Source organism: Homo sapiens, chromosome 7 (genome assembly GCF_000001405.40).
Source record: "Homo sapiens chromosome 7, GRCh38.p14 Primary Assembly".
NCBI lineage: Eukaryota > Metazoa > Chordata > Mammalia > Primates > Hominidae > Homo > Homo sapiens.
The window spans coordinates 136,315,986-136,337,711 of NC_000007.14; the positions used below are offsets into that span (position 1 = coordinate 136,315,986).

Consider the following 21,726-nt stretch of genomic DNA (forward strand, 5'->3'; position numbering starts at 1 on the left):
ATATGTGTGCATGTGTCTTTATAGTAGAATGATTTATAGTCCTTTGGGTATATACCCAATAATGGGATTGCTGGGTCAAATGGTATTTCTGGTTCTAGATCCTTGAGGAATCGCCATACTGCCTTCCACAAAGGTTGAACTAATTTGCAGTCCCACCAACAGTGTAAAAGTGTTCCTATTTCTCCACATCCTTGCCAGCATCTGTTGTTTCCTGAATTTTTAATGATCACCATTCTAACTGGCATGAGATGGTATCTCATTGTGGTTTTGATTTGTATTTTTCTAATGACCAGTGATGATGAACTTTTTTCCATGTTTGTTGGCCACATAAATGTCTTCTTTTGAGAAGTGTCTGTTCATATCCTTCGCCCACTTTTTGATGGGATTGTTTTTTTTTCTTGTAAATTTGTTCAAGTTCCTGGTAGATTCTGTATATTAGCCCTTTGTCAGATGGATAGATTGCAAAATTTTTCTCCCATTCTGTAGGTTGCCTGTTCACTCTGATGATAGTTTCTTTTGCTGTACAGAACTCTTTAGATTAATTAGATCCCATTTGTCAATTTTAGTTTTTGTTTCAATTGCTTTTGGTGTTTTAGTAATGAAGACTTTGCCCACGCCTATGTCCTGCATGGTATTGCCTAGGTTTTCTTCTAGGGTTTTTATGGTTTTGGATTTTACATTTAAGTCTTCAATCCATCTTGAGTTCTTTTTGTGTAAAGTGTAAGGAAGGGGTCCAGTTTCTGTTTTCTGCATATGGCTAGCTGGTTTTCCCAGCACTGTTTATAAAATAGGGAACCCTTTCCCTGTTGCTTGTTTTTGTCAGGTTTGTTGAAGATCAGATGGTTGTAGATGTGTGGTTTTATTTCTGAGTTCTCTATTCTGTTCCATTCGTTCATATATCTGTTTTGGTACAAGTACCATGCTGTTTTGTTTACTGTAGCCTTGTAGTATAGTTCGAAGTCAGGTAGCGTTATGCCTCCATCTTTGTTCTTTTTGCTTAGGATTGTCTTGGCTATATGGGCTCTTTTTTGATTCCACATGAAATTTAAAGTACTTTTTTTCTAATTCTATGAAGAAAGTCAGTGATAGCTTGATGGGAATAGCATTGAATCTATAAATTACTTTGTGCAATATGGGCATTTTCACGATATTGATTCTTCCTATCCATGAGGATGGAATGTTTTTCCATTTTTTTGTGTCCTCTCTTATTTCCTTGAGCAGTGGTTTGTAGTTCTCCTTCAAGAGTTCCTTCACTTCCCTTGTAAGTTGTATTTCTAGGTATTTTATTCTCTTTGTAGCAATTAGGAATGGGAGTTCACTCATGATTTGGCTCTCTGCTTGTCTATTGTTGGTGTATAGGAATGCTAGTGATTTCTGCACATTGATTTTGTATTCTGAGATTTTGCTGAAGTTGCTTATCAGCTTAAGGAGTTTTGGGACTGAGATGATGGGGTTTTCTAAATATACAATCATGTCATCTGCAAACAGAGACAATTTGACTTCCTCTCTCTTCCTATGTGAATACCCTTTATTTCTTTCTCTTGCCTGATTGCCCTGGCTAGAACTTCCACTACTATATTGAATAGGAGTGGTGAGAGAAGGCATCCTTGTCTTGTGCCAATTTTCAAAGGGAATGCTTCCAGCTTTTGCTTATTCAGTGTGATATTGGCTATTGATTTGTCATTATAGCTCTTATTATTTTGAGATATGTTCCATCAGCATGTAGTTTATTGAGATTTTTTAGCATGAGTTTTTTGTCTTTTTAAAAAACAAACTTTTTGTTTTGTTGATTGTTTTTATTGCTTTTTTAAGTCTTTGTTTCATTTAGTTCTGCTCTGATTTTTATTTGTTTTCTACTAATTTTAAGTTTGGTTTGTTCTTGCTATTCAAGTTCCTTGAGGTACAATCTTTAGATCTTTAGATTGTTTATGTGAAATCTATTCACTCTTGATGTAGCCATATATTGCTTTAAACAGCTCTCTTAGCACTGCTTTTGCTATATCCAATAGGTTTTGGCATGTTGTGTTTCAGTTTCATTTTTTTCAAGAAACAAAACAAATTTTTGATTTCTGTCTTAATTTTTTTTTTGACCCAATGGTCATTCAGGAGCATGTTGTTTAATTTCCCTGTATTTGTACAATTTCCAAATTTCCTGTTGGCACTTATTTCTAGTTTGATTCCACTTTGGTCTGGGAAGATACTTTGTATAATTTTGATCTTTTAAAAATTTGTTGAGACTTGTTTTGTGTTCTAGCATATTGCCTGTCCTGCAGTGTGTTCCATGTGCCATGAGAAGAATGTGTATTTGGTAGCTGTTTGACAAAATGTTCTGTAAATGCCCGTTAGGTCCATTTGGTCTAAAGTCCAGTTTAAATCCAATATTTCTTTGTTCATTTGCTATCTAGATGATCTGTCTGATGTTGAGAGTGGGGAATTGAAATCTACCATTGTTATTTTATAGGAGTCTATTTCTCTCTTTAGATCTAGTAATATTTCCTTTATATATCTTGTGCTCCAGTGTTATATGAATATATATTTAGAATTATTATATCCTCTTACTGAATTGATCCCTTTATTATTATATGACCTATTTTGTTTCTTTTTTACTCTTTATTACTTAAAGTCTGTTTTATCTGATATAAATATAGCTATTCCTGCTCACTCTAGGTTTTCATGCAATATCTTTTTCCATCCCTTTACTTTCAGTCTATATGTATCTTTACAGATGGGATTAGTTTATTGTAGGTATCATATAGTTGGATCATATTTTTAAATCCATCCAACCAGTCTGTATCTTTTAAGTGAAAAATTTAGTCTGTTTACATTTAAGGTTACTATAAGTATGTGAGATTTTGTTCCTGTCAGTTTGTTAATTATTTGCCAAATATTGTGTGTATTCTTTGGTCCTTTCTTTTCTATGTTATTGTTTATCATTGTGGTTTGGTGGTTTTCTGTAATGGTAGCATTTAAGTTCCTTCTCTTTCTCGTTCGTGTATTTGCTTTATCAGTGAGTTTTATACTTTAATGTGTTTTCTTGATAGTAGATATCATCCTTTTGAATTTGAATCCTTTGAATTCAGGTATAGGACTCCCTTAAGCATTTCTTGTAGGACTAATCTAGTGGTGATTAATTCTGTCAGTTTTTGCTTGTCGGGGAAAGACTTTATTTCTCTTTCATTTATGGCAGGGAACTTTGCTAGTTGTAGTATTCTCGGCTGTCATTTTTTTTTTTTCTTTCAGCAGTTTAAATACATCCTCTCATCCTCTTAGGCTGTAAGGTTTCTGCAGAGAAATACACTGCTAGTTTCCCTTAAAAATGACTAGATGCTTTTTTCTTGCTAGTTTTAGAATTCTTTCTTTGTTTTGACCTTCAACAGTTTAACTATTATGCACTACAGGGACCTTTTTAAAAATGGTATCTTTTTAAGGATCTCTGAGCTTCTGTATCTGGATATCTAAATTTCTTTCTAGTTGGGAAGTTTTCAGCTATTATTTTATTAACTAGGTTTTCCCTCCTTTTTGTTTTTTCTTAGTCTTCTGGGACACTGAAAATTTGTATATTTGGTCACTTTATAGTGTCCCAATATGTCATGTGGGCTTTGTTCATTCTTTTTTCTTTTTACTTTTATCTGACTGAGTTATTTTAGTCAGAAATAACCTGTCTTCGAAGTTGTGAAATTCTTTTTTTGCTTGATTTAGTCTATTGTTGAAGTTGTCAAATATTTATTTTTTATTTTATTTAATGAATTCTTCCATTCTAGGAATTATGTTTGGTTCTTTTTTTTATGATATTTGTACCTTTTGTAAATTTCTCATTCATATCCTATATGGTTTTCCTGATTTGTTTGTACTGGTTTATCTTCTGTTATATCTCACTGAACTTCTTGAATATCATTATTTTGAATTCTTTTGCTGGGGTTTCATAAATTCCTATTTCTTTGGAATCTGTTGCTGGAGAATCATTGTGTTCCATTGGAGGCATCATATTTCTTTAGTTTTTCACGTTTCTTGTGTCCTTACATTGATATCTGCATATCTGGTGTAACAGTCACTTGTTCTAATTTTTTGGATTTGCTTTCATAGAAGAAGATTTTTTCTTGAAGTTAAATCTATGGTATTTGTTGTGTAAGGTACTTTGGCTTTGATTCTGGGTGTGTGCAGTAGTGTATTCTCTGTATAATTTATTTGACTGTAATTAGTGTCAATAAAGTCTGTGATTTACTCAGTGGCTTAGGGTGCAGTTATTAGTGGAAACCATACTAAAGTTTTGTTGGAGATAAAGATGCCAGTTGGGCTAGTCCTCAGGCCCTAGTGAGTGCATTGGTCGGGTGAGTATGCCTATCCTTAGGCACCAGGTGGACAATGCTGGCACCAGTGTTAGCAGATCCAGGCAGGCCAATCCTTGGGCCTATGGGCAGTTTTCTTGGATGCCAGTAGTACCAGCAGATGACCAGGCTGGTGGGTGGGTCCACAGGCCCCTGGGCAGCAGGCCAGCTGTGGGATACAGCAGTAGTGGTGGGATAACCTTCTGGCTTCCAAGCAGTCCACACTGGTGTTGCCAGTCGTTGTGATACGCTGGATGGACCAGAACCCAGGCCTATAGGTTATGCATGCAGGTAGTTGTGGTGGCAGACAGGGTGAGCCCATCCTCAGGTCCCTGGGATGAGTGCATGGGTGCTAACGGTGGGTGACAGGACTTGGTGGTCCTCAAGCCCTCAGACACCATGCTCAGACACTGAGGAGGGCTGCAGAGCCATGCTGGGTGACCTTGACCTTAAGCTCCCTAGTAGCGTCTATGGACATTGGCTCTGGTGGCCAGGGGTTGGGTAATCCCCAGGCCCACAGCAAAGTGCTTGAGTCGAATCAGTAGTGGCTGTTTTGCACCTTGCTGATAGGGAGGGTGGGGGTGCTTTCATTGGCAGTGAATGTAGGTAGGTGGCTGGGGAGCATGCACGTTGATCCCAAGCTGTGGCTGCAGGCAGGGAAGCCTGACCTCAGGATGTGTGAAAGTGCATGGCAGCCTGTTACTGGGATGGGCAGGGTTACTGCCAGTGGCCTGTGCTTTGGCCCCAGTGGCAGCAGCCAGCAGTGGTGGCAGCTGGAGGTGGGGGAGTCTGTCCTTCAGGCACATGAAAATGCTCAGCAGCTTTGCTGCTGGGGGCATCAGTGTTACTGCCAATGGCTTGTGTTTCAGCCCTGGCAGTAACAGCCATCTGTGGTGGTGGTTATGTGCAGGATACGTCAATGGGGCTTTAGGAATGTGCAGATGAAGGGGCTTTGGGGCCCCAGGGAAGGATGCAGCCTGGTGGAAGCTGGGCCCTCAAAATGACACCATGTCGTAGCTGCTTGGGACTCGGTGTGTGCGGAACCCAGCATGAGCTCACTGTCTGGAGTAATGCCATTGCACCTGTCTGCAGGTAGATCTCTATGTTAGTCTCAGGGCCTGCAAGGATGGAAGGGCTCTCCCATGACTAGTACTGGAGGAGCCCATGTGGGAATATGGGCCACTGGGGGTCTTTCATTTACTGTTTCCCTGATTGGGAGAGCTCTCCCCAGCTGATCCTAGCCAAGCAGGCTGCCTTGCTTGTCTCTTCTTCATTGCCTTAGTTGTTCCTATCACTTCTCTATTGAGCTCCAGTATTCCCTCCTAGTTGATCCATTTAAAGTGTAATTATCCACTTAATATCTTGGTTCTTTTCTGTGGAGGAGGACTGCCAGGTGCATCTCATCAGCCATCCTGAAGCCCCTCTCTCATTTCTGTTTTTGATTCTTCTGTTTGTTTCTGCTCTTAATCAATTCATAAATTACTTTAATTTTTTATTTACATAATTATTCAATTTTAGAGATCAAATATAGACTTCTTCAACAAAATAACAGCAGAAAATCATCCAGCATATCCTTAAACAACTCCCTTGATGATGGATTGATCATTCCTAAAGTTAGGTAATTCCTTCTTCAGAATTTTTTTTTTTTCTAGATGGAGTCTCACTTTTTCACCCAGGCTGGAGTGCAGTGGAGTGATCTTGGCTCACTGCAACTTCTGCCTCCTGTGTTCAAGCAATTCTCCTGCCTCAGCCTCCTGAGTAGCTGGGATTACAGGTGTGTGCCCCCACATCCAGCTAATTTTTTGTATTTTTAGTAGAGATGGGGTTTCACCATGTTGGCCAGGCTGGTCTTGAACTCCAGACCTCAAGTGATCTTCCCACCTCGGCCTCCCAAAGTGTTGGTATTACAGGTGTGAGCCACTGTGCCCGGCCATTTCTAAGCCTAACTCCAAAGGCAAAACCCATAAATGAGAGAGAGAGAGAGAGAGAGAGAGAGAAAGAGATATAGAGTGAGAGAGAAGAGATTTTGTTGGTAAAGAAACAAAAAAGCAAATACAACTATTTGGCAAAAGCATTGCATGAAAAATTACAAGGAAGAAACACAATTTGGGGAAATTATGTATATGCCTATACTTTTGCTGATAATCAGAGTCACACTTAATAAGATGCTATATTTTAATCTACCAAATTGGCAAAGAATAAGAGGACTTTTAATGCCTAGTATTAGTAATGATGTAGAAAAATAAGCATTGTTGTAGAGGCAAGCATAGGTGATCTAATATTTCTGGTTGGCAATTTAGCAACGTGACAAAGTTTAATAATATGCATATTTCTTGATTAAGAAGAAATGAGATTCTTAAAAATTTGTCTTAATCACAGAAATGGATAGAAGCAGAAAAATGCATGTGTAAGTTATTTTCTATTTGTATACTTGTTTTCAATAGTATAACATTAGAAAAAGCTGAGAAGTCCAAAAACATTTATTAAATAAACCATAGTAGGTTTATACAAAGGAATACTCTGTAGGCATTATGGTAGATTATATATATGTATATACACACACATACACACACAAATATGTATACTTATTTACAAGCAATGATGTTCACTGTAGTTTTAAGAAAAAATCCTTATTCTAAGACAATATGTTCAGTATGACTCTTGAAAGGAAATGAATCTATGTTAACACTGTTTGCTTTCTATTAAGGCAGTCCTTAAAGAAATTAGCAAAAAATGTAAAATGATGCCATTCTTCTCATTATTGTTTTGTTTTGGAAAATATAGATGTGTTTCATAAAATATATTATTTCTATGAATATATAACATTAATTAATAGGTATATTTCAATATTATTCTGTTTTAAATTTTAATATACTCAGTATTAAAAGTTATACTAAAACCACATAATCCAAGGCTCTTTGGAGTCCTTAGTAAACTTTTAGAGTGTACGTAATCTGGAGACCAAACAGTTTTGAGAATGGTTAAGCTGGAGAGATGGTTAGAGGCTAAAACATGACTGGCTGGCTGTACGAAGCTAAGGAGTTTTGGTTTCATCTTGAAAATTATGGGGAGATACTTAAATATTTTAGATAGAGAAGTGACACATTAAATTTATTTATTGATTGATTGTGAAATATTAGTTTGCCTGTCTTTTGGAGGATAAATGAAGGGAGGCTTTGCGAGGAGGCTTAGTGATAAGGTAGCAAGTTTTTCCAGAAGTTCAAGTTAGAAGCAATGAGGGGTTCAAAGTGTAGCAAAGGACTGGTCAGAGTCAAGTTGAGAGAGATCCTGCATCTATATAGGACTTAGCAACAGACGCTATAGGGCTTCATGACCAGTATGGTACAATGCATGGGATGAATGAGAGCTATGACTCCAAGATGCCTTATAGGTATCTGGGTTGGATATTCAGGGGCTACTATACTCAGATCTCCCCAGATCTGTGTGTGTGTGTGGTGGGGTGGTGGGGGGCCGGGGGGACTCCCTAGCTTGTTCTGTGTTCTTTTGCCTCATTGGAAGATGCTTGACAGCTCCTGGAACCACTTTCCTCATGTGGTCAGAGGAAAGTGACCTGGAAAGTACCTGGAAGTTTACATTCCTGTATTATTCTGTTCTCATGCTGCTGATAAAGACATACCTAAGACTAGGTAATTTATTTTTTTAAAAAGAGGTTTAATGGACTCACAGTTCCACATGGCTGGGGAGACCTCACAATCATGGCAGAAAGTGAAAGTCACGTCTTACATGGCAGCAGACAAGAAAGAATGGGAGCCAAGCAAAAGGTGAAACCCCTTATAAAACCATTAGATCTCGTGAGACTTATTCACTACCATGAGAACTATGGGGGAAACTGCCCCCCATGATTCAGTTATCTCCCACCAGGTCCCTCCCACAACATGTGGGGATTATGGGAGCTACAATTCAAGATGAGATTTGGGTGGGAACACAGACAAACCATATCAGTTCCCCCTACCCTCCACCCTGAGGTGGTTTTTGCCAGGAATGGTATGCACAGGAATATGAAAGCCCAGGGTTCTCTTTCTGGGGTGGCACGAGCCAAGGGAGGTAATGTACATTCCAGACTTCCTCTGTGTGATAAAGCTGAGGCTAGAATTTCGCTGAGGTCACACTGTTGCTTGGCTTCTTCCTTTTCCCGTTCCTCTTTCCCTTCCTCCATCAGAGATTTCTCCTGGGGGCACTTTCTTGCTCTGTCACTGCACATGAATATTCATCTCAGGCTCTGCTGCTGTGGGACTTGACACAGGACTGGAGTCATGCTGACCTTGCATTTCACTTAGATAGATTATACCAGGTATGGAGTAGTTTACAGGAGAGAGGAGAGTAAGTTCATTTTTGGACATGTTGATTGTAAGTACATTTGGATCATTTTATGGAAATATCTAGTAAGTAGTTAAATCTGAGTTAGAAATATTGATCTGGAAGCCATCAGGATTTAGGTGCTGGTTGAAGCCATGAGTTTGAATGAGGCTAAATCAGGAGAGTATATGGAGCATCTAAAACTGAGGACTGGGTCATGTGGACATTTTGACAGTTGCAATTAACATGTTCCTCATATAAATCCTTTCCATACAAGTATCAGTTTACATTTTCATATTCAGAAACATCATATTGTTTGACCTTTACAATAACAAAGGAAGGTGGGAGGCTATGTGTAATTATTGTCGTTTTTCAGATGAGGAAATTAAGACAGAATTTATGTGAAACACTCAAAGTCACAACAGTGACAGGACTAGCACAAAATCCAGGTCATTTAATTTCTAGCACAGAGCTTTTCCTGCCCCTTACAACTGCTTTTGAAAAAATTCATTTTTTTTGGTATATACTTTTGCAATGTATAGGAAATAGTCTTTCTTGCAGCCTCAGCATTCTTACGGACTCATATTACATCTGCTCCAGCTTTTCTGGTATCCTCATCAATTTATCATGACCTGTTGCAGGACATCTTTGTTTTCCATAGCCCAGAAAATCACTTCCTTCAGGAAGCCACTGTGAACAAACTGCAGCCCTTGGTTATTTCTTACTTAATAGTGTTGCATGGATTTTATATTATATTCATTCTCACGTGTTGATATGCTACTTTTGTGTTTCTTTCTTTTCTTGTTTTGTATATTTTTGTTTTTATTCTTCCAACTATATTGTAAGACAATCTTTAAAGTATTCTCTTTTATACAAAATGAATGTTTCCATTTTTTTTGGGAAATAAAGAAAATATAATTCTACATTATAACAACATTTTGTATATTTTATTTTAGTCATTATTTTTTCCACATGCTTATGCTGGCATTCCTGAAGTTTTCAATTGTTCAGCCAGATTGTTATTTGGTGCATAAATCCGTCTTGCAACTATTTTTTTTTCTTCCTTAGTATATATTACAATGCACTATATACAATAGGGACGTTGTTGCTGCTTGGGAATTCATTTGGTGAGAGAGGGACTTGCAAAAGATGACTCAGATATTTCAGTCAGGTCAAAGATGGTCAGAGAGTAAATGTGCTATGAGGAGATGACTTTTTGCTAATGGGGAGATTTTGACTTTAGTAGAAGAAAATGTTTGAAAGATTTAATTGGGCCAATTGTCATCACTATGTTAGGATGACCCTATTGGGTGAGCTTGTGTTTTTACTTTCCCATCCCTACTGGGACTATTTGGACAGCTGGGTGTGTATCAGATAAAGTTAGTACACAATTTGGTTTTATCTGCCTTTTATTCAGCTGTCAAAGCATGATTATGACCCCCTTTCAGAGTATAACATAAAATACTTTTCTGGACTTTGATTAATTTTTTTAACTAAAGACAGTCCTAACAGGTCACATGTTTCATCTTTAGCCAAGAAACTTTGCAGTCAAGGTTTCCAAGTTATTCTGCAAGTCTGTCTGGCTAGCGTCGTCTCTTGGCATGATAACATCATTGCATATAAGTACAGCGCACCATTAATCTGAGTGTATTAGACTTTCAAACATTCATTCCTCCAGACTATAAGCTGGATTTGCACTTTGCTGGATGACATTTAAGCAGTTTACTTGGATGTAACGTGTTCCCAGCACAGCATGAAAATGCATTTACTAAGGGCTTTGTGTCTGTGGTTTAGATGAAAATAGAGTAAAGCTTCCTCCCTCTTGAGATGTTTAGATAAGGTTTAATTGATTTTGAAAATACATTAGCATGACCACAATGCTTTAAAACAAATGAACTTTTTTTTTTTAAATAAAGCAGGTTGCATTGGGGGTTTGACTTAAAAGCTTTGAAATGGTGAAATAGCAAAGAGCTTTTTTTCCTTTTTTAAACTTAGAGAAAGTACAGCACGCCCCCAAAATATTTCTAATTTATGTTTATGCTTCTAAAGTTTGAATAGAAATAAACTTACTTCTGGAGAAAAGGCTTTTTATCATGGGGGACTTGAAGTTACGAGCTTTTTCACAAGACAGTGTTGGAAACATATGTCCTTGTTGTCAGACTAATGCACCTTTATTGACTTAAAGCTTAGAAGGAAATCAATAGATTTTTGGAGACACATAGGAGATTGCAGGCCTTCCATTTATGAATACGATGAATTGAAATGGTCTTTAGACTGTCTGCATTAGCATCGCCACTTACCAATGTGGTATTGAACATATGGCTCTGCTGAAACAAGTAATGATGCACCCCTAGACTCTTGCTGAAGCACTTGACTTCAAACAGTGTGCTAACCAACTTCTGCTTAAAACCCTACTGAGAGCAGTGCCCCGTAGGTAAAACAGTCTGTGAAACATGGTATCCACTCAGCTCTCTGGGTAATCACCTCTATCTTGAGTTGGAAAGAGCACTAGAAAGTTATATAGTTGTTTTACACTAAGTTATCTTCTGAACAATCACCTTCACAGAATTAAATTTAAGTGTTATATCTTTGGTTTTGTTTGTATCTGGTAGATAATTTTGGTCAAAGACAAACTGTCCATCATTCTGTGTATACAGTGTCATTTGATAAATCTATTTTGAATTTATAACCAAGGGAGAAGTGTATGTGCCCATTTTTCTCTCTAGCTCTCTTTCTGACTTTCTGTATCTATTTCTTTTTCTCTCTTAAAATTGGTTTGCTTTCTTCAAACAAATAACTTGAAATATTCAACATACTCATTTTCTTGCCTCTGAGGAAATGTAGAGCAAAATTGAATAGGCAATCACAATAATTATATCAAACCTCATTCTTAGCATTTTGCTTTCTTTTGCTCTTCTTATATCTTTGATATGTTATTTTTTCCAGAACTTTGTTATATACATGAATTTTATTTTAAGGTGCCTTAGATCCCTTTTGAGAAGCAGAAACTAATAAGCAAACTGTTAAGGGAAGGCTAGAAAGAGATGATCAGAGGCCAGAGGATAATGAGTCTATAAACTATAGAAACTTAAAAGGAAAATGGTATTTTTGATTGTCATTTTACTGCCAAGGTGACTGCTTGTGTTTCCAGCCAACAAATGGTCATATATTCTCTAGCAATACTTAACAAGTCTTGGGCACACCATATAATATGCTTTCCTGTAGACACTATTGATTGAGAGAAATAGTGGACGTGAATAATTATATGTGGATTTAAAAAGTCCATGTATGGAATTCCATTATAAAAGATTGTGAAAGAAATATATAGAACTAAATATTTGGGCCAAAACAAAAACACAGTGAATTACCATATTATTTGCTTCTCTGGTAAATTTTCAGTAATGGCTTTTATATGAACCAACATTTGCTCAAAGGATATAGAAACTTGAAATCCTTGGTCATCTGAAAAATATCAGAAATGAAGCTAAAGTAAATTTAATGAAACTAGAGGAAGACATTATTATTTACTTAAAATATATTTACATACAACCTTTTAAAATTACATTTATTTCTCATATAGGGTCCTACATATACACTTGAAATAATGCAGATACTAAGATATGATAAATTTCAAAATGAGAAACACAGAGTTCTCAGGCTCGAATTGGCTGAAATTGGCTGAAATGTTATTTTCTTGAATTGGCTGAAATTGGCTTGAGATGGCCTTTACTCTCCCATTCCTGTCTTTAACCTTATACAGACATTGTTTTCAACAAGCACAGCTGATAGCAAGTGATCATGAAGCAATCTTTTCCCCTCTTTCTCTTTCCATTGAAATTACTCTTTAGAGTTATTTCCCTTCCTGGATGAAAAGTGTGGCAGTTTGTGGTCACTTTTATGGAATAGAGTTTTTCTGTCATTGTAACTCATAAGACATGGACTCAGTATTTCAAGGTCTAATCTCATATAATATTCAAAATTTCAATTTTGCTTTAATGTTAAAGCTTCTCTTTTTTCTCTTCTCCCTTATCTTGATGGCTGGTTTCTACTTCTCAAAGATCAGAACAGTGGGAGAGAGAAGAGGGAAGGGGCAGGAAATTTCCCTCTGGTGTGGTTGTGATGTAGCTCCTGTGCTTTCTAGACTTGCAGGTGATGAAAGCTCACTTTTTTTTTTCTGGTGGGAAGCTTTTACACGGGTTCTTCAGAGGCTCCCATCACTGGGGATCCCTCAGTTGAAACTCTCTGGAGATGACAAATGCATCTCTATTTCTGTTAGTTGCTTGATTTTTTCTTAACCCCTTTTCATTAAACAATACCTGATTCATTCTCTATCTTTTTCTCTTCTTTTCTGCAGGATGTACTCACATCCCAACAAATTGAAAATGCTGACCAATCCCAGCACAGCCAACTCGAATTTGCTCCTTCATCAAAGTGACCAGCACCTCATTTCTTCCTCTTTAGAATTTATAGGTAAGAGTCAGCAGTCCACTAGGACTCTGTAAATACAGGGTACACAGAAGAAGCTCTTGTAGGGGGCCACGTTGTCTAGTGAGAGAGGACACACTACATTATCTTAAAGCTTTAAGGTAAAACATTCCATTTGTCTTTTTATTGGGTGAACGGGAAGAACTACTGGAACGGTTGTAGTTACTGAGTCTTCTGGAATCATAGTGTAAGTTAGTGAAGGTTTATACAACTGTGATTGCAGAACAAGAACATAAATGGTGTCAAACTATGCAATATAACATAAATGTTCAGATGAAAAAAATCAAGTGGTAGAGAGAGGGAAGACAGGTGATGAAATAGATAGGAACTCTAAACCATGTGCTGTATAAAGCTAGAAATCCAGAGAAAATCTCTAGTTGTTCAATCAAAAAATAAATATTAAAATATGTGATTTAAAGTTACAAAGGTAACAGAGATATATATTGTAATAGTGATTTAACTCTAGTAGAAGGAATAGAAGAAGGATTTTTAGTGTTGTGCAGTTGAATCCTGTCTTGTTTAGTTGAAGCAGATAATGTTTGAAATGGATACATTTTAAAATATATTTGCATAAACATATTATTTAGAGTCTTGAACGGAGAATAGGAGTGAGAAAGGTGAATTGAGAGAGGATTGCATTTCATTAGGGTTCTCCCGTTTTCCTTGTTCTCATCTTTCTTTTTTTTAATAATGTGTGTACAAATTCCTCTAATCAAATTTAAAATATTTATTTTTAAAATATATTTTTAAAATTATATATAAAATATATAGATGAGAATATAAATGGAATTATGTGGAAAAATATATAGACAAAAATATATCATTATTCAGTATGAAAAAGGTAAGGAGGTAAATTATTGCTGCAAGATATTAAAATAGTATAAAGTTATATTATTCAATATGATACAAACATAAGCATCTTCAGAAAGCTCAAAGAAACAGAAAAATACCAAAAGGGTGTTTTAGTACATATATAAACTAAATATGTGAAAACGATTTACTAAAAAATCTTTGGGGAAGAGAAAGATTATTTAACAAGTGGGTTTAGGTCATTTTTAAATAAACATGTTGCCTATAACTGTATCCCATATTAAAATAAATTCCAGATCATTATGCACTTATAAATATTAAGCCATGAAATGCCTAAAAGGAAGCTCTGAGTGTTTGTTTATCTGAGTTATACGTTAGGTAAGACCTCCTATACTTCAATCAAATGGAAGAATTTGCTAAAGAAAGGACAGAGATTCAACAGATTTCAAGGGTTTAAACTGTATGCGTTAAACTAAAAGACGGCAAAGAAAAATAATTACAACAAACATTAAAATGCGTAATATTAATTTATAAAGAAGTAATTAAATGAATTTTTATTTTGTCACATTCAGTGCCAGAGTTCCAGCACCAAACATGACAGACATGGTCTTAAAAATCAATGAGAAAAACCCTGAGACTCCAATAGATAAATGGGCAAAGATCATGCATGCTTACTTCACCAAAGAGATAATGCAAATAAGTCATAACCATTGGGAAAATATTTGGCTTATTACATGACCAAAGCTTACAAACAAAAATAAGATTTTAATTATATTAATTAAATATAAAAAGCTGTTTTAAAAGGGAATACCCAGTGTTGGCAAGTGTCATGAAGTGGGTGCTCCAGAGACAGTGGAAAAGTGCAATTTTTTTTTTTTTTTTTTTTTGAGATGGAGTGTTGCTCTGTCACCCAGGCTGGAGTGAACTGGCGCAATCTCGGCTCACTGCAACCTCCACCTCCTGGGTTCACGCCATTCTCCTGCCTCAGCCTCCCGAGTAGCTGGGACTACAGGCGCCCACCAGCACACCCAGCTTAATTTTTACATTTTTAGTACAGACGGGGTTTCACCATATTAGCCAGGATGGTCTCGATCTCCTGACCTTGTGATCTGCCCACGTCGGCCCCCCGAAGTGCTGGGACTACAGGTTTGAGCCACCACGCCTGGTCAAAAGTGCAGTGTTTTAACCTTTTGAGAAAGTAATTCAGGAAGATGAGTAAAGAGTTTTAAAGATGCTCGTATATGTAGGGCCAGAAATTCGATTTCTAGTGTTTTTGTAAGGTAATTCAGACTAGTGAAAAAAATCGAGACTTTCTAAGTACTCAGCCATAAGGAACTGCCTAGGTAAAGTAAGAAATTGTATATTTGATATAATTGCGGACATTCTATATGATATTCACATGGAGTTGTGAAATATATGGAAAGTGTTTATGATAAAATGTTAAAGAAGAACACAAAATGATATCAAGTATGGAAAGCAATATGTAGAAAATGCAAGAAATTATGCAAACATTTTAACAATTTCTCTAGGAGTTGGAGTATGATTTTTAAGTAGTTTGAATATTTTTTCTACCTCGTACTTTCTCCAAAATGAATTTGTGCTATTTTCATATTGAGAACGAAACACAGATAGATACTAAACAGCTAGTTTAAATTCTCAGTTTGTTAGTTGTGGGAACTTGGGCAAGTGACCCCTTTTGTGAGGGGGAACATTACAGCTCACCCAGTTTTGTTGGAACTCCACCTAAGTTACAAAAATGATTTTTGTTTTGCCGACTTCTGGTTACACAGTCCAGTACATCCCTCATTTACTTGTCTTCATTTCAGCCACTGAATTACATTAATAGCCCTTAAAAATATTTCTCCCATTTAGGGAAAAATTATACCCAAGACAAGGGAGCAAGTTGATGTTGTCCATCTGGGTTTGTGCCCATTATCTCCAGACCTGGAGTTATTAGCTGAGTTTACAATGTGAACACTTATTTTCTTGTAGCCTTTAACCTCTCATTGGTCCATATTTCTCACTTTTTTAAAGAGTGTGGCCTTTTGACTTCCACTGTGCACCAATAAACTTAAATTAGACAGAAATGGGACAATCCCCTTTGTAAGAACCCCCCAGTATTTCTGTACTTGAAAAATAAATTAATTGTTTTCTCCCCTTGATTCCTTCTTTGGATGGCCTTTGACTTGCCTCTCTCGAAGCAGCCAATGTTTATACAAGGCAAGCTCTGTATCAACAGTCATTCTTTGATTCACCCCTTCATAAACCTGGGGCCAAGAGGAAAAAAAAGTACAGGAATAATAAGAAAAAATAGAGGAATAAGTCAGCTTGGGACTGGATAGCCTGCTAGCAAAAATGACATTGGCTTTTGAGTTTGAAGAGGTTTGTTCTTGAGAAAATGTATTTCAATCAGCTCTCTAATACTCAGGTACCCAATAAGCTATTGATTCTTTCCAGTTGGGAACATAATGTAATAATGTGCTAGTCCATTAAGTCAGAGCTTCATCTTTGCACAATTCGTATTTTAAACTTTAAAGAGGCTCACAACCGAGCTTTCACAAACAGTAGCTGTTTACTTTCTTTCCACTAAAATAATCATTGCAAATACCCCTCTGAGAATGTATATTTTCAGATGCCAGGTAATCAAAGCTTAGTTGTACTCAGACGCTTTTTTAGAAACAAATGGAAAATAATTGCTTTAAAGTGCCCACTTGTGAGGATTTCTGCTCATCAGTATAATTGCCAGCATCCACTGTCTTTCTACCACAATAAATTCACAATGATTCATTAGCTTCTATTAGGCGGGATGAAATAGATCATCTTGTTAACATTAACTTTGATTTTTAAATGGCTTTACTTGATTTCATATTGGGATTACAGTTTGCACATAAACTGAAATAATAAATACCCCCTGCCCCACTTTAAAGGTAGTAGAAGACAATAAAATTAGAACTCAGCCAGCCTTGCAGGATTTAGATATGTACTCTCAGTGTGGGTATTTACTCTAGGAGTGTTTTTATATCTTCTCTTTTGTCAAAGGAATTTAATTTCTTGACCATAAGCCTTTGCACACAGAACCCAGCAGTTGGCAAATAATCCGTAGGATGTGGTACCAAGTACCTTTGTCCAGCCATTTCTTTGGCATCAAATGAATAGGATGATTACTGCAAAAACTGCTGGGTGAGAATGCTTGTCAAAAACTTTGTAATCTTATATTTAACATATTCCCTAGATTGATGAGATCATAATTAATGTACCTCAAAACTACTTTGTATATGTGGATATTGGTCAAAGGTTAACACACCTTTGTTGATTTCAGTTTTTAAACAGCCTGGGAAATATATCCTGTCTTTATCTTTGCCATAAAAATGGCTGTGGTAATTGACTACTTGCATCAACTACCTTGATGGGATCCTGTCAACTCACTGAGGGGTCAACCTTAACTTTCTAAGGTCAATAGAAGTGGGCATCTCAGTCTCCCCCAAGTTGGTGAGCATCCTGAATGTGTGGATCACCAACAGTCCACCTAGTGACAGCCTCTGGGCAGTACTGCCCACATTCCTACTCTGTCTCAGCCTCCTCCACCAACTCGGGATCCCGTCTTCCAGTTTCTAGGTCTAGTATAGTTGAAAACAAAAATTAAGTTAAAAAAAATGACTGTCCATAGGATATTTTAAAAGTTCCAATTGAAAGTGCAGATAGAACTTTTAATGATTGCTTCAAACACAAATAAACTGAGTACTCATTTAACTATTTTAGACTGTTTCAATATAACAAAATGAAACAGAGAGGACTTCAAGGCAAAAATGATTCAGAGAGGCTACATGGAGAGGACTTCAAAGAGATGACTGGGGGTCAGAGAAGGGCCTGATTGTCAACCATGCAACCATGCATGGTGAGCCAAGCAGGCACCAAGCAAGCATGTCTGGCCAGGGCCTAAAACAATAAAATGACATGAATGCTGGCCTTAGCAAGTTAACAAGTGGCCAGAGTGCAGGAGAGCAAAACAGACAAATCACAGTTTCTTCGCTTGCACAGTGAGCAGGGGCTCACTTCACAGCAAACCCCACACACCCTATGCTGCTTCTAACCGTTTGTTCAGCAGGCTATAGAGGTGGCCTATATCCAGCACAGCACCAATGATTTATACAACTACACTGAAGGGAAGCAAGAAGCATTTCTTTAAAAAAAAAAAAAATCAGTGGGTATTTCTCATTTGGTGCTTGGGAAGCAGTAACCTAGTTTCTGGGCTGGCTGAAGAAAAATAACAAAGTGCCTGATTTTTCAGTGCTGGGTCATTTCTAGAAGAAATAACTAGATGAAAGGATACCCATCAAAGTCTTTTAGAGATAAACCAGGGCAACTTTCAGTTGTTTGGATGAATAACCTTAATTCCTATTAATATAAGCTGTGTTTGTCCTGTAGTGGAAGATCTACATGTATTGTGATGCAAATTTAATTTGGTTGAAAGCTTGCAATGCCACTAAAATTCTGAGAACTGCAAGTTTAAGACCTTTAAAGCTAGAGCTGAATAAACATGGGTATACTGTGCATTCTGGTATGTATAATAATTTGTTCTAATAAACGTTTTGTTGATGTAGGTGAGGGATGGGGGACAATATTTGATCATAGGCTATTTTAGTCTTTCTATCCTTAAAACATCAAAACATAAGATTTGTAAGAAAGAATAGCTACCATGGAGTATTGGGGCAGCAGTCTGTGTCTTTGATCCAAGACAAATATGGGTCAAAATTGGAGGAAGCACACAAAGTTTACACATCTGACATTTATTAGAGGTTTTATAAATGTTTGCTGTCTGATTGATTGACTGGTTGAAGGAATACATGAAGTAGTCTGTTTTATGTACTACCCAACTTCTCCCATGTCTCCTTCTGTGCCTAGTGTTGCATTTGCTCTTTGCCTCACCTCCACATAGCAGTACCTCATGTGGATGCCTGATCTCCTGGGGGTGGGGAGGCTGAGAGATTGCGATCTAGACTTGTTCTGACCATGCACTCACACTGTGAAACTTCGTTTCCCTTGTACACTTTATCAACCTCTGGAAAGGTATATTATGAGACTACTTCCAAGCTCTAAATTATCCACAGGTAGCTTAAGACTTAACCAAATGAGTATCTTCTTCAAATTTTAGATGACAAATTTAGGGGTGGAAGCTTCCTGAAAAAATCTCCCAAACAACTCAAGACAGCTGCCAAGAAGCCAGGATAGAAAAACTCTGGGTTTCAATTCTCAGTTGAGGTGAGAATCCAGAAGAGTGAGCCTTCTCAATTCAGGAAACAGATTTCCAACTCAGATAGTTCAATGACCACATACTATATTTGATGGATTCCAAGGTGCAAATTTTAACATCTCTGTGTTAGGCTATATTTTACAATAAATACCATCGAGCAATTGCTGATGGCTAGGCCAGTGTGGTACAGTTGACATTGCCTGAGTTGTGAAAACAGCAAAAGCATCATCATAAAAAGTTGCAGAATGACTGACAGCTGCCCAGAAGACAATCCTGGAGAAAACAGTGGGACACTCTTTTAGCTCCTAGGAACCAAATGATTGCAGAGAAAGGGAGTTATTCTAGCTCTTGATGATTGCTCAAGGCTTAGCCCCAAAGGATTTTAGTTCTTTTTGTAAAGTTTTTAAAGGAATATTGTATCAACAATATAGACATTAATGATACTGAGTTCGAAAGTAATCACAAAAGTGTCAAACTATGATCATGAAGTTTTAGGAATATATATTAACCTGAGGTGCCCAACCCGTGGGCCATCGACTGGTACTGATCCGTGGCCTGTTAGGAACCAGGCTGCACAGCAGGAGGTGAACGGTGGGCCAGTGAGCGAAGCTTCATCTGTATTTACAGCTGCTCTCCATTGCTCATATTATCACCTAAGCTCTGCCCCCTGTTAGATCAGTGACAACATTAAATTCCCATAGGAATGCAAACCCTATTGTGAAGTGTGCATGTGAGGGATCTAGGTTGTGTGCTCCTGTGAGAATCAATTGCCTGATGATCTGTGACTGTCTCCCATCACCCCCAGGTGGGGTAGTTTATTAACAGTTGTGGGAAAACAAGCTCAGGGCTCCCACTGATTCTACATTATGGCGAGTTGTATAATTATTTCATTCTATGTTACAAAGTAACAATAATAGAAATAAAGTGCTCAGTAAAGGTAATGCCCTCGAATCATCCCAAAAATATCATCGCCAACTTCCCAGGGTCTGGAAAAATTGTCTTCCGTGAAACTGGTCCCTGATGCCAAAAAGGTTGGTGACTACTGCATTAACCAATATATTTCATCTATGGTTTTGTTTCATGTGTGTACAATGATAATAAATTATAAAAATAAGTGTCTAAATACATATAAGAGAGCTTTCCAATTTGCGCAGAATTCTAAGTGGTGAGACTATACTGTATCATAGTTTAATAAAGCAATGTTTTTCCTTCTGGTTAGTACATAAAATAATGGGGCTGCTTCTCAAGTGAGAAGAGAATAATAATAATAATAACGGGCCTCCTAGGATCTATGGTGTCACATCTAAGCACATCTGATATATTTTCAAAAAGTTCCGAGAGAAATGCTCTTTATTTCAGGGTTTACAAATTACTCAAAGTAGAGAAATGAAGGATGTCAACATGCCAAATCTAGGATTAATTAACTGGTAATTTTAGAAAATCACATTAAAACAGAGGAATGCAATATTAGTAGCTGTGGGAAGAAGGGCCGATGAGTGTGCTGGTAAATGTGTTGTATGGGAATTTTGGTTAACAGGCACGCATTCTGCACACAGCATCTGCACTGGGTTGTTACATTTTCCCTGAAACTAATTTGAGATTTCCTCAGGTTGTGACAACTTGATGAGGAAAATAGGCCATTCCTCTGGTTGTTAGCTAACCTCACCATCTCTCTCTCTCTCTTTTTTTTTTAAAGGAAGAACAGAGTTATTTATAGATCCTATTAATTTAGCTTAAATGATTCTAGTTACTGGATATGCATAATCAGCTTTTTCCTCTTTTCTACTTAGAGTTGCCTGGAAATGCATTGGATGAAAGATTAGAAAAATGTATCATTTAAGGGCATCCATAACTGCCTCTAATGTCATAATACAAGTTCAGTTATCAGGCCATGTGTAAAATAGGCAGATTCAGTCCTCTGTGGTAGGAGGTCAGATTGTTTGCTTGTGCTTACAAACACGTGGGCAGAGAGAGGCTCTTAACTTGAGAAGTGTCCCTTAATGTCACGTTGAATGGAATTGGAGTACACTCTTCTGTATTTTCAAGCACACATAGCTAATTCACAGTAGGAAATTTTAAAAAAGGTTTGAGGAAGATTTCCTACTGGGAGATTAGCAAAGGGATTATTTGGTGGGGACCATGGGAGAATTTTGTTTTTCCCTGGGTAACCATCAGTCTTCTGGTTAATGAAAGTGTCCATTATTCAGTTTAATGGACCTAACCTGTGTTATTATAATAGCAGTGGGGGTCTGTTGCCTGTGTGGTCCTAGGGAGATGACAGACAGGGAGAGAATTTGGGAAGCTGTGTGGAATAATGGCCAAATTTCTTTTCTGATGGTGGGATCAATTTGAGCTACCATGCCATCAACCTGGTCAAGCCACTGGAAGGCGGTAATAGAAAAATTACTTTGTTTTTGGAAATGATTTCAAATTTTGAAAAAAGTTGCCCCAATAGCACAAAAAAGTTTCCATTACATTTGAGGAAATGTTATTATTTTGCCATATTTATTGATTTCCCAATTATAGATATATATAATA

At 37.2% G+C, this 21,726-nt stretch overlaps 1 long non-coding RNA gene across 7 annotated transcripts in view; it reads left to right on the plus strand.

Annotated features, from left to right (window-relative positions):
* The window catches only part of LOC105375523 (uncharacterized), a 459,019-nt gene that overhangs the window by 335,039 nt on the left and 102,254 nt on the right, over window positions 1-21,726 (plus strand). For all 7 annotated transcript variants that reach the window (NR_187960.1, NR_187957.1, NR_187964.1 and 4 more), the window contains one exon: window positions 12,997-13,112. This is a non-coding gene — a long non-coding RNA (uncharacterized LOC105375523). The remainder of the gene's footprint in view (window positions 1-12,996; window positions 13,113-21,726) is intronic.